The following is a 17605-nucleotide window of genomic DNA, read 5'->3' on the forward strand; positions in this document are numbered from 1 at the left end:
ACATACTTTTTTTTGGTGGTGAGAACATTTAAAATGTACTCTTAATAATTTTCAGGTATACAATATTTGTTTTTGTTTTTGTTTTTGTTTTGAGACGAAGTCTCGCTCTTGTCCCCAGGCTGGAGTGCAGTGGCGCTATCTTGGCTCACTGCAACCTCCGCCTCCCAGGTACAAGCGATTCTCCTGCCTCAGCCTCCCAAGTAGCTGGGATTACAGGCGCCTGTCTCCACGCCCGGCTAGTTATTGTATTTTTAGTAAAGACAGGGTTTCACCATGTTGGCCAGGCTGGTCTCAAACTCCTGACCTCAGGTGATCCGCCTGCCTCAGCCTCCCAAAGTGCTGGGATTACAGGCGTGAGCCACCGCGCCCGGCTACAATATGTTCTTAATTATAGTCAGCAATAGATCTCCTGAACTTATTCTTCCCAGCGTCTTCCCAATCCCACCTCCACCCCCTGCTAATAATTAATTTTAAATGACTGGGGAAAAAATTGAAAGAACTGTTTCATGACACTTGAACATTATATAAAATTTTCATGTCAGTGTTCATAAATACAAACTTTTATTAGAACATAGCCATACTATTTATATATTGAAATACAGTTGAATTTGTCATATGACCAATTTATTAGTATTGATTAAGATGTTGAGCAGTTTATTCAAGTGTGGTTTTGTGGAATGAAAGAGACAGGAGGGATTATGAGGACTCTCCTTAGCAGGATTGATGCATTTCACTTTTTTTGACAGGAAGGAAAGTTTAGGTTCTATTTTCTCAGCAACTCTACTTAACTGCCTCCATCTGAACTATATATAGGAGGGGGTGGATATCAGCAAAGATTAACATCAGTAAATTTTGATGAATTCTCTAAAAATTCTGATTTTTAAAGAGGGAATTTTGGCTGGGCACAGTGGCTCACACCTGTAATCCTAAGCACTTTGGGAGGCCAAGGCAGGTGGATCACCTGAGGTCTGGAGTTTGAGACCAGCCTGGCCAACATGGTGAAACCCTGTCTCTACTAAAAACAAATTAGCTGAATGTGGTGGCGCGCACCTGTAGTCCCAGCTCCTTGGGAGGCTGAGGTGGGAGAATTGCCTAAACCCAGGAGAGGTGGAGGTTGCAGTGAGCCGAGATTGTGCCATTGCACTCCATCCTGGGTGACAGAGCGAGACTCTCAAAAAAAAAGGTGGGTGTGAATTTTGTTATGTTGTGCGGGCTGGAGTGTAGTGCCCATCCATTGGCACGATCATAGAGTACTACAGCTCCCTAACTCCCAGACTCAAGTGATTCTCCCTCCTCTGTCTCCCCAGTAGCAGGAACTACAGGCCTGTGCCACCATGCCCAGCTTTCTTAGTCTTGAGGGACTGCATTTACACCTATGCCTTTTACTCTAGGGTCTTTTATTCATATTGCTAGAAATTTGGAGAAGAAAGAAAGGCATAATCTCTGCAGAAAAGCCATTATTTCTGCAGATAGTTCTTTTTTTTTTTGAGATGGAGTCTTTCTTTGTCACCCAGGCTGGAGTGCAGTGGTGTGATCTAGGCTCACTACAAGCTCCACCTCCTGGGTTCACGCCATTCTCCTGCCTTAGCCTCCCGAGTAGTGGGACTACAGGCACCCGCCACCATGCCCAGCTAATTTTTTTTTGTATTTTTTAGTAGAGACGGGGTTTCACCATCTTAGCCAGGATGGTCTCGATCTTCTGACCTTGTGATCCGCCGACCTCGGCCACCCAAAGTGCTGGGATTACAGGCATGAGCCACCACATCCGGCCAATTTCTGCGGATAGTTCTAAGCTTTAGTTTTGACCACGTTGGTTGCCTATGGCCAATTCCTGGATTATTTGCATGTTTCCAGACACAGCTATGTGAAAGCAGGGTTTGTTTTAATAGTGTTTTGAGCCTTTGATTCCAGTTCTGCTTCCACTCTTGGTCTATAAGGATCCCTATGGCAGCAACAGAATGGCCCAGCCCTCATGATTGGTTGCTTAAAAAGGCTTTAGGATATTCAAACTGGGTGGCCTGTCTTGTTTGGAATAGGACTAAGCATGTCACACTTTCACCATGGAAGAGTTAATCCATATTCTATCTGTAAGTTGTATCTCCAGTCATTGGTTTTCAACAAGTGGTCCTATCTTAGGAGGAGTGGTATATTAGAACAGTCCTTCCAGAGTAATTTTTTTCATTATTTCAGATTTTTTAGTTTTTTTTGTTTGTTTTTTTTTTTTTTTTTTTTAAAGGCTCTCACTCTGTCACCCAGGCTGGAGAGCAGTGATACGATCATAGCTCACTGGAACCTCTACCTCCCTGGGCTCAGGTGATCCTCCCACCTCAGCCTTCTGAGTTTCTGGGACTACAGGCATGAACCGTGAGGCCCAGCTAATTTTTGTGATTTTTGTGTTTTTTGTAGAGTCAGGGTTTCTCCATGTTGCCCAGGCTGGTCTCGTACTCCTGGTCTCAAGTAACCTGCCCGCCTCGGCCTTCCAAAGTGCTGGGATTAGAGGTGTGAGCCACCACACCTGTACTACTACTTTTAGTTTGAACACTATATTTAAATCTAATAATTCAGACATGGCCCATTTCATACTTGACAGAAAGTATGAGTCAAAGACTCAAATCATTCAGATTCTCACATATGTAAAACGTACGCTTGGCCGGGTGCAGTGGCTCACGCCTGTAATCCCAGCACTTTGTGAGACCAAGGTGGGCGGATCACCTGAGGTCAGGAGTTCAAGACCAGCCTGACCAACATGGAGAAACCCCGTCTCTACTAAAAATACAAAATTAGCTGGGGTGGTGGCACATGCCTGTAATCCCAGCTATTCAGGAAGCTGAGGCAGGAGAATCACTTGAACCCGGGAGGTGGAGGTTGTGGTGAGCTGAGATCGCGCCATTGCACTCCAGCCTGGGCAAAAAGAGCGAAACTCTGTCTCAAAAAAAAAAAAAAAAGCAGGCTTATAAAATAAAACAAAAATGTCCCTTATGATTTGTCTTAAAGGTAGTTGAATTAATAAGAGCTAAATCTAGTGTCCCATACATCTTTGTGTTTCTTACTCTACCCTTTAGAAAGGGTGGGGGTGGACGTGGATAAGGCACACAGTTAATTCAGGGACGGTGGAGTCTTGGTACTTGCTCTTTTTCCCTGACCTTGCTTTGGAGTTATTTTATTTTTTAAATTCTGCATTTGGCATGCTATTATCACTTGCTTACTATTATAGGTCCTATTTTATCTGTTGCCTAGCATATTCTCATAGTGCCTAAAATACTCTAAAAGCTATTTCCAGAGGGAGCTTTAATGAGACATACAATGCTTAATCTCTCAAATGTAAATGTACTAGAACAAAGCATTCTGGGGAAGAAAACAGTGGTTGATTTAACTGAACTCACTTTTCCAAAACAGTGGCTTTTGATTTTCTGTAAACATTGACTTTATTAAGCTTTTCCCTTGCTACTATATGCACTCTCTATTTCTTAAATTGCAAAGAGTTATTCATGAAATTTGTGATAAATATTTGAATCTAAGGCAACGTTTTTGGATTCTTTATACGAGGTTTTTAGCAGCATGTGTACATGTATGTGATAGCTGTTAACGGAATTCACTTAAGTTTTACTTAGAAGCCTGGGTAGTAGAACCTAGAAGTTGCAGTGGGAATTTTTTTTTAATTTGAAAGATTAAATAGGTAAAAAGTCATCTTTAATCTCTATTAAACTTTTTTGTATAATGTCAGAAGTGAAAGTTCCCCACATCTGCTTACAGCCTGTTTGTATCCTTCCTGACTTGATTGATTAAATGGACATCTCTATATACATATGCATATAATTTCAATTTTTGCTTAGTAACAAAAACAAAAGTTACACATACTGGTGACTAATTTGCTTTTTTCACGTATGTCATGAACCATTTTCCAGGGCAGTTCATCTAGATCTCCCTCAATTCTTTTTAATGGCTACATATTCCACTATTATGGATGTACCATATTTATACAACCGGTTCCCTATTGATGGACATATGGTTGTGTCTAGTTTTTTGCTAGCATTGTGATAGATTAGAGCCTGTAATGAATGGTAAGGAAGTAAGTAGATGATAGCACTACTACTTTGAAGGAAAAAGTAGAGAATAAACTTCCTTTGCCATAGTCACTTACTAAATGGAATTTAATAAAAACACTGTCAAAAGTTGGGAGGACCAAAATTGATACTTTTTCTCTGATCTTTTTGCCATGTGTATATCTGAATTCTTTGTTTTTAAAGAAGAAACAGCATTGAAGCATTATTTGGGGGGAAAAACACACACACAAAATCCAGCAACTCAGCATTCATGAGCAACTCTATACTATACCAGTATGTGCCTGTGCAGTGGAAGGAAAACAATTTTGGTAAGGATTAAAACTTTAGCTTTAAACTTCCAGCAGGTTGATATTCTAATGAATGATAAATCAAAAAAAAATTTTAAATATTCTTGTATTGACAGTGCTTTTTTTTTTAAATCACCCTACCTTGATATCTGTAATTTTAGTTTAAACTTTCCCATTTTTCTTTAAAGAAAAAAATCTGAATTTGCAGCCAACAAAAATTAGATATCCTAAGGTTGTATTACTTCTGACTTTTATTAAAATATCAACATTTCTTAGAGATGTTTATGGGCCGACTTTGTCTTTTTCTTCAAGGGGCCAAGTTCACTAATTGCTGAGTTTTATGCATATGACAGCAACCGTCCTTTTGTAGGTGTGTGTCGCATCCATCTAGATACTTTAAAATGCTCATCTATTTCATTTTTAAAATTATGTGTGTGGGATTATCAGTATTTTTTTGTTAAACATATGACATCTGTAGTTTATTTCACTAATGTAAATTTTTTCTACCATTTGCTTGATACAGGAAATATATCCTGGACAATTCCAGCCATCTCTCTGTCACAAATTCATAGCCTTGTCAGATAAGGAAGGAAAACTACTTCGCAACTATACCCAGAACATAGACACGCTGGAACAGGTTGCGGGAATCCAAAGGATAATTCAGTGTCATGGTTAGTAAACTTCAGAGTGGTTTTCTGTAATTTATTTTAGTTTTATAGGAAGATATTTCCTATAAAGCTGACTGCCATCGAGAAGTGGAGATAAAGCATTATTTAATCATGTTATCTCATTTATCGATAACCTCAGAAAAGTAGAAAACAAAAATAATAAAAACAGAAGTATTGGCCTTGACAGTTAATTATAGAAAACCTCAGATATTAATTTGCTTTTGATTTCAAAAGATGCTGCAGTTGCATGCATTCAATTATTTTAAATAATCTTTTCTGGCTGAGTGCAGTGGCTCACGCCTGTAATCCTAGCACTTTGGGAAGCCGAGGCGGGCAGATCCCATGAAGCCAAGAGTTCGAGAACAGCTTGGCCAACATGGTGAAATCCCAACTCTACTAGAAATACTAAAATTAGCCGGGCATGGTGGCAGGCGCCTGTAATCCCAGCTACTCAGGAGGCTGAGGCACGAGAATCACTTGAACCTGGGAGTTGGAGGTTGCAGCGAGCCAAGATTGCACCATTGCGCTCCAGCCTGGGAGACAGTGAGACTCTGTCAAAAAAAAAAAAAAAAAAGAAAAAGAAATTCTGAATACAAGAGTAGTATTAGCTGTTAATGAAGAAATGTGACATCTTTAGTTTATGAAACTAAAAGAACTGGATAGTTGAGATGTACAGGATTCAGAGATTCAGAAATGTTTAAAACAAGTATCAACAGGCCATTAGGTATCTAAAGTGTTTCTAAGAACTGCCGAGCTAAGGTAATAGAGTTGGAACTGTCCAACTCTGCAGGATTTTAGCCCTGGAGGAGTGAGCTGTTACAGTTTTGTTGAAAAGAGTAGCTTTAGAAGGCATCATTATATTAGTGTCTCAGAGATTGAGAATCATATTCATTCTATGTATAAATATATAAATTCTTCATCCCCTAGATTCTCCTGTAGTATATCACAAAATCTGCAGTGTGTTCTGAGGTTTAAAATCAAAGTTAAAAACAAAAACAAAAATCCTTAAACCCTCTTAACATTTGTGATGTTAAACTTTATAACGTTTGTGGTGTGTTCAAGAAACAGAAATACTTCTTTAATAAAGCATATATATGTTGTTTGTTTTTAGGTTCCTTTGCAACAGCATCTTGCCTGATTTGTAAATACAAAGTTGACTGTGAAGCTGTACGAGGAGATATTTTTAATCAGGTAATTTGTTGCCCATATTTTAGGAATTGTTCATGTCTCTGAAGTATTTCTTCTTTTGCCTCAAAATCCTTTTTTACCCCTTTAAAGTATATATGGTACAGAAAGATTCAGGAAGAAAATAGTTAGCATTTGGGAATTTTGGTAAAATACACGAGAACCTTTCAATACCTTATATAGAAAACAGCCCTATAAAGGCTCTTCAAATTATGAAATTGGCTTCTTAGTATCTAAGCCGAACATAAAATGTCAGATCATAAGCAAGTTGTTGTTGTAGTAGTTTTTCTCCTTCCTCTCCCTTTTTGTGCCTGTCAGATTTGGACCTTAAATTAGTTATGGTAATCTAAAATTATTTCATACATGTTCATTGCCAAAAAATATAGGAAAATTTGGCAGAAAATAAAAATTATCCAGAAATATGTCCTGTGTGCTTAGCAATATATGGAGGTAATCATGTCATTACGAAAGAGGAAGAATAGTATATTAAAATGGAGTCATTGGTCGGGTGCAGTGGCTCATGCTTGTAATCCCAGCACTTTGGGAGGACGAGGTGGGTCGATCATTTGAGGTCAGAAGTGAGACCAGCCTGGCCAACATGGCAAAACCCCGTCTCTCTTAAAAATACAAAAATTAGCCTGGCATGGTGGCATATGCCTTTAATCTCAGCTGCTTGGGAGGCTGAGGCAGGAGAATTATTTGAACTCGGGAGGTGGAGGTTGTAGTGAGCTGAGATCATGCCACTTCACTCCAGGCTGGGCAACAGAACAAGACTCCATCTCAAATAAATAAAATGGAATCATTTTATTTGACAAATGTCTATTTTTTTTTGAAAGGATCAATTCCCATTTAGTGTATATACACACATTATGTTTTTCCTCTTAATATATGATGGACTCTTCAATGTCAAGTGTTTTTCTACATAGATATTATAACAAGAGCATAGTATTTCATTGTTTCATAGTATGTTAATAAACTACCCATCATTGACAGTTGCTGTTTATCCATAGCTTTTCTGTTTTGTTTTTTTTTTAATAATTCTGAAATGTATTCTTAGAGGTATGGAAATGTTGACTATTTCTAACTTGGGCTTACTCTTTGCTTCTCTACCTCAACCAAAATCTGAAAATATGTAGGTAGTTCCTCGATGTCCTAGGTGCCCAGCTGATGAACCGCTTGCTATCATGAAACCAGAGATTGTGTTTTTTGGTGAAAATTTACCAGAACAGTTTCATAGAGCCATGAAGTATGACAAAGATGAAGTTGACCTCCTCATTGTTATTGGGTCTTCCCTCAAAGTAAGACCAGTAGCACTAATTCCAAGTAAGTTGGTGATGGTTTTTGGAGAACATTTCTATATATAATGTCATGGGTTGTGGGTCTGTATAATAGACGCTAGTAATCTTAACTCTGCTTCTGTTTGAAAGAGTGGTGAAGAGCTAATTTTAGAAATTGTTTGTTTGTTTGTTTATTGAGATGGAGTTTCCCTCTTGTTGCCCAGGCTGGAGTGCAGTCGCATATCTTGGCTCACTGCAACCTCCGCCTCCCGGGTTCAAGCGATTCTTCTGCCTCAGCCTTCTGAGTAGCTGGGATCACAGGCGTCCACCAACATGCCTGGCTAGTTTTTGTATTTTTAGTATAGACCGGGTTTCACCATGTTGGCCAGGCTGGTCTCGAACTCCTCAGCTCAGGTGATCCGCCTGTCTCTGCCTTCTAAAGTGCTGGGATTACAGGCATGAGCCCCCATGCCTGGCCAGAAATTCTTTATTTTTAGTAGAGATGAGGTCTTGTTGTGTTGCCCAGGCTGGATTCGAACTCCTGGGCTCAAGTGATCCTCCTGCCTCAGCCCCTTGAGTAGCTAGGATTACAGGCACGAGCCTCCACATCTGGCTGAACTGTTTTTTTAGGTGGCATTGTTCATTGAGACTGGTGAATCTGACATTTTGATGGGGGGTGGAGGGTTGTCAAAACGCAAGTAATGTTGGTGGCTCGTGCCTGTAATCTCAGCACTTTGGGAGGCCGAGGTAGGTGGATCGCTTGAGGGCAGCAGTTTGAGACCAGCCTGGCCAACATGGTGAAACCCTGTCTCTACTAAAAATACAAAAATTAGCTGGGCATAGTGGTGTGCACATGTAGTCCCAGCTACTTGGGAGGTTGGGGCATGAGAATCGCTTGAACTCAGGAGGCAGAGGTTGCAATGAGCCGAGAATGTGCCACTGCACTCCAGCCTGGGTGACAGAGTGGGACTCTGTCTCAAAAAATCAAAAACAAACCCAGAAGTAATGCTAAACTCTACTTCTAATTTATGTGAAAAATTAAGACAAAGGTAGAGTTCAACTTAGACTTTTTGGTGGAATGTGTTTTTAATGTTGCAAGGGTTAGCATCAATTAATTTATGAAATGGTCCTTTATCCTTATATTTTTTGATTACAGTTTTGATCTTTCAAATTTAATTGATTTCACATTTAATAAATTCAAATGTATAGTTTGGTAGAAGTGTAACATACCATGTAAGATGGAATTTGGGGGCTCAGAATGATTGGTTCATTCTTGTAGTAACAGCCATGCCATAACGGTGATATGTCGATATAGTTTACCCAAAAGGGTGTGTATATAAAAGTGTTCACATAAAATTTAAATCCTTATTACTCTCAGGAAAATTTCTTTGTCATATATATTCTCATACTGTCTGTTTCCTCCTCTAGTTTAGAATCAGAGGAGGAGAGAGAGAGATTTCAGTTGCATCAGATGTGTCCTTTCATAAGTGAGGGAAAGAGGAGAGGAAAAATATTAAATCCCTAGCCAGAGAATTGAATTAGACCCCACATCAGCAGTCAAGGCAGCCAGAGTAAACAGTTGGAAGAAACATGGAGTCAAGCTCTTCAATTTTGTGTCTATCCCATATCTCGTGGCTTTAGCAGTTAACTCAGTCTTACCTAATTAGCTGTGAAATTCTGTTAAAGTAGAATACAAGACAATTTGCAATTAAATGAAACATGAAAATTTAATATACAAATCTCTTTGTTCTTGAGTTGCTCTTCTTAAAGCAAAATCAAAGGCACTCTGCTTAAAAGCTTTTCTTTTTATTTTTTAGAGACGGGTGTCTTGCTGTAGCTCAGGCTAGAGTGCAGTGGTGCAGTTTCAGCTCACTGCAGCCTTCAACTCCTGGGGACAAGCAGTCCTTCCACTTCAGCTTCCTGAGTAGTTAGGACCAGAGGCGCACACCATGCTTGGCAAATTTTTAAATTTTTTTTTGTAGAAACGGGATTCACTTTGTTGCCCAGGCTGGTCACAAACTCCTGGCCTCAAGTGATCCTTCCTCCTCTGCCTCTCAAAGCATTAGGATTACAGGCATGAGCTACCATGCCTGGTCCTTAAAAACTTTTCTTTCAAAAGCTTTCTGTGGGATAGTATGATGTGTTGCAAAGATAATTAAAAAAAGAAACAGGTTTATAATAGCGTAGAATATGTTTATATGACTTTTTCCCTCCCCCCCTCCCCTCCCTCCCTCCCTTCCGTTTGTCCTTCCTTCCATTCATCCTTCCTTCTGTTAGTCCTTCCTTCTGTCCATCCTTCCCGTCCGTTCTTCCTTCCTTCCTTCGTCCATCCTTCTGTCTGTCCTTCCTTCCGTTCATCTGTCCGTCCTTCCTTCCTCCCACCCTCCCTCCCTCCCTCCTATCCTCCCTCCCTCCCTCATTGCCCAGGCTGGAGTGCAATGGCATGATCTCGGCTCACTGCAGTCTCCCGTGTTCAAGCAGTTCTCCTCCCAAGTAGTTGGGATTAGAGGCATGCGCTACCACACGCCCGGCTAATTTTGTGTTTTTAGTAGAGATGGGGTTTCACCATGTTGGTCGGGTTGGTCTTGAACTCCTGACCTCAGGTGATCCGCCTGCCTCGGCCTCCCAAAGTGCTGGGATTACAGGCGTGAGCCACTGTACCCAGCTCACCTTCTTTATATCAGGAGCTACTTAAGTAGAACATTTATGTACCAAGAACTCTTCTGTGCACTTGACTAACTCATTTAATCCTCACCACAGTCTTGTGGAGAAGTACTATTATCATCCCCATTCTGCAGACAAGGAAATTTGAGGTTCAGAGTGGGAAAGTCTGGGAAGATTGCTCAGGGGTAACCAGGTGATAGGAGCAGAACTTGAGCGTTTTATAAAAGACACTTAACTGCCCATCTGCTTGCTTGATGAAATGTAATGGCTTGGTTAAGTATTTAGTGCATGGGTCTTTTTTGGGAATTTGGAGCTCAAGCCCTTGTTGGATTTTTGCATAATGTATCTGTTGTGGTTTTATTAGCTTACTTCCTCCTCCCTTTTTCTAACTCTTATTTTTCACCCTATTTTAGGTTCCATACCCCATGAAGTGCCTCAGATATTAATTAATAGAGAACCTTTGCCTCATCTGCATTTTGATGTAGAGCTTCTTGGAGACTGTGATGTCATAATTAATGAATTGTGTCATAGGTTAGGTGGTGAATATGCCAAACTTTGCTGTAACCCTGTAAAGCTTTCAGAAATTACTGAAAAACCTCCACGAACACAAAAAGAATTGGCTTATTTGTCAGAGTTGCCACCCACACCTCTTCATGTTTCAGAAGACTCAAGTTCACCAGAAAGAACTTCACCACCAGATTCTTCAGTGATTGTCACACTTTTAGACCAAGCAGCTAAGAGTAATGATGATTTAGATGTGTCTGAATCAAAAGGTTGTATGGAAGAAAAACCACAGGAAGTACAAACTTCTAGGAATGTTGAAAGTATTGCTGAACAGATGGAAAATCCGGATTTGAAGAATGTTGGTTCTAGTACTGGGGAGAAAAATGAAAGAACTTCAGTGGCTGGAACAGTGAGAAAATGCTGGCCTAATAGAGTGGCAAAGGAGCAGATTAGTAGGCGGCTTGATGGTAAGAAAGGCAGTCGGACCATTTTGAAAGTATAAATGTCATAACAGTATTTCCAAAAAATTAGCTATTTCGGCAGGTTAATCGATAGGGTAGCTTTATGTAGTTGATTCTGTTTAGAGAAACTGTACAGTTCGTAATCAGAAAGGTAAATCTTCTGGTATCTTAACATGATATGGAGAAGGAAGTGTTTAATAGTGCTCTGTATGTTGTGTTTCTCTAGGGGATGGAAAAATAAGAATGGGTTATTAGCTGGCAGAAATGATGACAGATTTGAGTGCTTACTGTAGGTCAGCTGCTTTACATATGTTACCTGATTTTAATCTGAGGTAGGAACTATTACTCTTCTTCAGGTGGGAAAACTCAGGACCATAGAGGTTAAATACCTCATGCACAGTAACTACTAAGAAGTGGAAGAACCAGATTAAAATCCAGTCTATTTATGCTTAGAGCCTGCCCCCTTAACTACTATGCGGTGTTGTCTCAGATGTAGAACACATCTTTGTTTTCTCTGAGGACTTAGAAAAAACACGCGTGATTCTTCTCCACTGAATATAGGAATAGTTTCTACCCTGTTTAGAACATGCATAGTCTTTATCAATAAGTGTTAACTGACATGTGAAATCACTTTCTACTCTTTGGAAGCCGATGTTTTAAGTCCAAGTAGTCTGTATGGTGGAAATTCCTAACTTATGTTAAAAAAAAGAAAACCACTGTAACTTAGCTATAACAGTCTTATATAACTTAGAACTTTAAGTCTCATTCCATTTACCATACTTGGCGAAAACTGACAAATTTTAGACAACTGTATTTGAGTATTCCAGTCATTTGCTGTAAATACATTTTAGTTCAGTTGAATAAACCTTTGGCCTTTTTCATATTAGGCACTGTGGTAAGTTATGGAGACACAGTGATTAATGTTGTGTATAATTATAAATGTGAGTGATACTCATTAATACTTTGGTATAGGTGCTGCTGAAGAACAAAGTACTTTATTATTGTTTTGAACAAAACATCACACAAAAGGTAGATTTTTTTTTTTTTTTTTTTTTTTTTTTTTTGTGACGGAGTCTCACTCTGTCGCCCAGGCTGGAGTGCAGTGGCACGATCTCAGCTCACTGCAACCTCTGCGTCCCAGGTTCAAGAGATTCTCCTGCCTCAGCCTTCTGAGTAGCTGAAATTACAGGCATGCGCCACCTTGCTCGGCTGATTCTTGTATTTTTAGTAGAGACGGGGTTTCGCCATGTTGGTCAGGCTGGTCTCAAACTCCTGACCCCATGATCCATCCACCTCGGCCTCCCAAAGTGCTGGAATTACAGGCGTGAGCCACGGCGCCCAGCCCCAAAAGGTAGATTCTACTTGGAGATTAGATTACAGAAGGCTTTCTAAGGAGCAAAATATTTAACAATAAGTAGGGATTTAAAAAGAGCAGACGTGTTCACAGGGGAAACTAGAAAAAGCATAGAGGGATGCTTACGTTTGCAAATCGTGGCAGAAGTCAGAAAGTAGAAAAATTGCTACTGACTTAGATACACAGTTGTCTCTAGCGTATACAAAGTCTACCTATGCACTAAGACTTGCACTGGGAACTTTTCTTGAATGTCATTTTGACAGATGTGTCAAACGGACAATCTCTTTGCCCAGGAAACAGAGTTAACCTGGAACAGTCATTTTTTTTTAAATTTATTTATTTTTTGAGACGGAGTTTTGCTCTTGTTGTCCAGGCTGAAGTACAATGGTGTGATCTCGGTTCACGGCAACCTCCGCCTCCCGGGTTCAAGCGATTCTCCTGCCTCACTCTCCAGAGTAGCTGTAGCTGAGACCACAGGCGCATGCCCTCATGCTCAGCTATTTTTTTTTTTTTTTTTTTTAGTTTTTGTAGAAACAAGGTCTTGCCACATTGCCCAGGCTGATACCAAACTCCTGGGCTCAAGCAGTCTGCCAGCCTTGGCCTCCCAAAGTGCTGGGATTACAGGTGTAAGCCACTGTGCCCTGCCTGTGGTGTCTTGGGAAACTCATGAGTACTATGTGTCTGTTGTAATAGAGGGAAATAAGTGGTTTTCACAGTGATTTGTAGTGGACTGTGAAATTTTAGGGATTCAGGTCAGAGTTGTCACACAGGTTGTAGTCAGGGTGAGAACTGGGTCATGATGCAGTATGAAAAAGTTCGAGAGCCACTTTGGAGAGAACTTGAGATAGGCCACCTACCAGTGTGGTAACCAGGCTTTTGAGAATTCGTCTGGGATACGGTACAATAAATACTACATCTATTATGTGTGAAGAGATGTTAAGTTAGGGACATACTGTGAATTCAAGGATAGAAAACTTTTCCATCAGTTTTTAGGGATCCTACTCTTTCACTTAAACCCCAAATGGCCAAGCTAGGATTGATTTGGTGTGCTGTAGAAAGAACTTCATTGGTATTCATGGATTCACATTACATCTTAGAGGAGTTTTCAAAAGCGTCTTAGACTGTATGTGTATATACACACACATTCTGAAGCAGTAGGTGGGTCTTGGGGCCTGAGATCTCGGGTGAATGTAAATTTAGGTTCACAGGTGATACTGTAGATTCACAGTGTCTACAGAGTACACTATGAATTTGTGGTGACTACATTATTGACAAAATATTTTAGGTTTATAATCAGAAAAAAGTTAAAATAGTTAATGAAGATGCTTTAAAAGCCTGTGTACTTTAGAGAAGCTACTTAACACAAATTGGGTATCTAATGTAGGCTGGGCTGGATACTTCATTTTCATCAAATCTTTTTAAAATAATTGGTGAAATAACCTTTATTGAATATGGTTTTCTACATTTTTCACACTTCCCTCCTTCATAGGGTTGTGAAAATTTATTTCATATTCTAGATGAGGAAATTGAGGCACAGAGGTACACTTACAAAGATACAATAAATGGCAGAACTAAGATTTGAACCCAGGACTAAGTGTATTGCTTGTATTTATTTAATTAATTAATTTTTAAGAGACAGGGCCTCACTCTGTTGCCTAGGCTGGCCCTTGAACTCCTGGGCTCAAGCAGTCCACCTGCCTCAGCCTCCTGAGTAGCTGGGACTGCAGGCACACCATGCCTCCCAGTTGTTTTTAAACACTAATAGTAGTCTTTCATAAGGACACTTATAATAAAGGCAGAGCTGGAACCCACACTTCATTCCAGACTGCTCAGACTGAGTTAGTGTTAGAAAACTGAAAGTAACATTTTTATTACTGTATTTCAGGTAATCAGTATCTGTTTTTGCCACCAAATCGTTACATTTTCCATGGCGCTGAGGTATATTCAGACTCTGAAGATGACGTCTTATCCTCTAGTTCTTGTGGCAGTAACAGTGATAGTGGGACATGCCAGAGTCCAAGTTTAGAAGAACCCATGGAGGATGAAAGTGAAATTGAAGAATTCTACAATGGCTTAGAAGATGAGCCTGATGTTCCAGAGAGAGCTGGAGGAGCTGGATTTGGGACTGATGGAGATGATCAAGAGGCAATTAATGAAGCTATATCTGTGAAACAGGAAGTAACAGACATGAACTATCCATCAAACAAATCATAGTGTAATAATTGTGCAGGTACAGGAATTGTTCCACCAGCATTAGGAACTTTAGCATGTCAAAATGAATGTTTACTTGTGAACTCGATAGAGCAAGGAAACCAGAAAGGTGTAATATTTATAGGTTGGTAAAATAGATTGTTTTTCATGGATAATTTTTAACTTCATTATTTCTGTACTTGTACAAACTCAACACTAACTTTTTTTTTTTTAAAAAAAAAAAGGTACTAAGTATCTTCAATCAGCTGTTGGTCAAGACTAACTTTCTTTTAAAGGTTCATTTGTATGATAAATTCATATGTGTATATATAATTTTTTTTGTTTTGTCTAGTGAGTTTCAACATTTTTAAAGTTTTCAAAAAGCCATCGGAATGTTAAATTAATGTAAAGGGAACAGCTAATCTAGACCAAAGAATGGTATTTTCACTTTTCTTTGTAACATTGAATGGTTTGAAGTACTCAAAATCTGTTACGCTAAACTTTTGATTCTTTAACACAATTATTTTTAAACACTGGCATTTTCCAAAACTGTGGCAGCTAACTTTTTAAAATCTCAAATGACATGCAGTGTGAGTAGAAGGAAGTCAACAATATGTGGGGAGAGCACTCGGTTGTCTTTACTTTTAAAAGTAATACTTGGTGCTAAGAATTTCAGGATTATTGTATTTACGTTCAAATGAAGATGGCTTTTGTACTTCCTGTGGACATGTAGCAATGTCTATATTGGCTCATAAAACTAACCTGAAAAACAAATAAATGCTTTGGAAATGTTTCAGTTGCTTTAGAAACATTAGTGCCTGCCTGGATCCCCTTAGTTTTGAAATATTTGCCATTGTTGTTTAAATACCTATCACTGTGGTAGAGCTTGCATTGATCTTTTCCACAAGTATTAAACTGCCAAAATGTGAATATGCAAAGCCTTTCTGAATCTATAATAATGGTACTTCTACTGGGGAGAGTGTAATATTTTGGACTGCTGTTTTCCATTAATGAGGAGAGCAACAGGCCCCTGATTATACAGTTCCAAAGTAATAAGATGTTAATTGTAATTCAGCCAGAAAGTACATGTCTCCCATTGGGAGGATTTGGTGTTAAATACCAAACTGCTAGCCCTAGTATTATGGAGATGAACATGATGATGTAACTTGTAATAGCAGAATAGTTAATGAATGAAACTAGTTCTTATAATTTATCTTTATTTAAAAGCTTAGCCTGCCTTAAAACTAGAGATCAACTTTCTCAGCTGCAAAAGCTTCTAGTCTTTCAAGAAGTTCATACTTTATGAAATTGCACAGTAAGCATTTATTTTTCAGACCATTTTTGAACATCACTCCTAAATTAATAAAGTATTCCTCTGTTGCTTTAGTATTTATTACAATAAAAAGGGTTTGAAATATAGCTGTTCTTTATGCATAAAACACCCAGCTAGGACCATTACTGCCAGAGAAAAAAATCGTATTGAATGGCCATTTCCCTACTTATAAGATGTCTCAATCTGAATTTATTTGGCTACACTAAAGAATGCAGTATATTTAGTTTTCCATTTGCATGATGTTTGTGTGCTATAGATGATATTTTAAATTGAAAAGTTTGTTTTAAATTATTTTTACAGTGAAGACTGTTTTCAGCTCTTTTTATATTGTACATAGTCTTTTATGTAATTTACTGGCATATGTTTTGTAGACTGTTTAATGACTGGATATCTTCCTTCAACTTTTGAAATACAAAACCAGTGTTTTTTACTTGTACACTGTTTTAAAGTCTATTAAAATTGTCATTTGACTTTTTTCTGTTAACTTACATTGTTTAAGGTATATAATTTTTAAGTCTTACAGAATTTGTACAGCTTCGAATGCTATAGTATTAGATGCTTTCTTTCTCATACTACATTTCTTCATTTGGTTTATTACATTAGTCTCACCAGACCAGTACTTGCAAAACCCTGATGGTGCTGATCGTAGCAGGTGATGCATCACCACCAAGCATTTCAAAAACTATTTCAGCCATTCTAGGCTAGAGGCCTGAGCAAGTAAAACATGGAGAAAAGGCAGGGCAGGGCCTAAGAAGGATGTGACATGTCCTATGATAAAGGACCAGGAGTTTGGGATTTGAGAGAGAACAGGAAGTGGTGGATAGTGAAAATCCATCTGATGCAAAGGCTGGGTTAACTGAAAATCTGTTCTGGGATGCTAGGTCTTTCAAGTCTGAAGACTGCAGACCACATTTGGTATCAACTTTCTGAGGCTGACCTGAGAACCTACTTAAGCCATTAAAGGTTTTGAGGGCGAAAGTATTACTGAAGAGGCCAGCAGTGTACCCCTTAAAATGTATGTGTAACTTGGTCGGGTGCAGTGGCTCACGCCTGTAATCCCAGCACTCTGGGAGGCCTACACGGGCGGACCACCTGAGGTCAGGAGTTCAAGACCAGCCTGGCCAACATGGCGAAACCCCGTTTTTACTAAAAATACAAAAATTAGTCGGGTGTGGTGGCGGCACCTGTAGTCCCAGCTATTTGGGAGGCTGAGGCTGGAGAATCGCTTCAACCCAGGAGGTGGAGGCTGCAGTGAGCCAAGATCGCGCCACTGCACTCCAGCCTGGTGACAGAGCAAGACTCCGTCTCAAAGAACAAAAAAGTATATGTAATGAATAAAGCTTTAGCAATTTCCTGTTCCCAGTTCTGCCTCCCTCCCCAGCAAACTTTCTAGGTAGACCTGTCCTGTATATTGTTAGCACTAGAGAAATTACCTGTAAGATGATATCCTCAAAATATTACAAAATTAAGGAACATTCTATATATGCACAAATTGAAGAAGTCAGGTAGTTGATACTTTTAAAGGTACATAGTCAATTTAAGTGGTCAAAAGGTATTTGGCAAAACCTAATTTAACTCAAGCCCTATGCATAACGTTATTGCTGAACCACTGGCTAAT

General features: G+C 39.3%; 1 protein-coding gene across 3 annotated transcripts in view; it reads left to right on the forward strand.

The window, feature by feature from the left end:
• The window catches only part of SIRT1 (sirtuin 1), a 33735-nt gene extending 17260 nt beyond the window's left edge, over positions 1–16475 (forward strand). For 2 of the 3 annotated variants that reach the window (NM_012238.5, NM_001142498.2), the window contains 5 exons: positions 4875–5022; positions 6131–6210; positions 7341–7527; positions 10559–11116; positions 14350–16475. In NM_012238.5, coding sequence (NP_036370.2) covers positions 4875–5022; positions 6131–6210; positions 7341–7527; positions 10559–11116; positions 14350–14678 — 1302 coding nt within the window. In that variant the 3' untranslated portion in view covers positions 14679–16475. Of the gene's footprint in view, positions 1–4247; positions 4373–4874; positions 5023–6130; positions 6211–7340; positions 7528–10558; positions 11117–14349 lie in introns of all 3 variants that reach the window. The other variant, NM_001314049.2, reaches the window with a different exon arrangement.

Source organism: Homo sapiens, chromosome 10 (genome assembly GCF_000001405.40).
Source record: "Homo sapiens chromosome 10, GRCh38.p14 Primary Assembly".
NCBI lineage: Eukaryota > Metazoa > Chordata > Mammalia > Primates > Hominidae > Homo > Homo sapiens.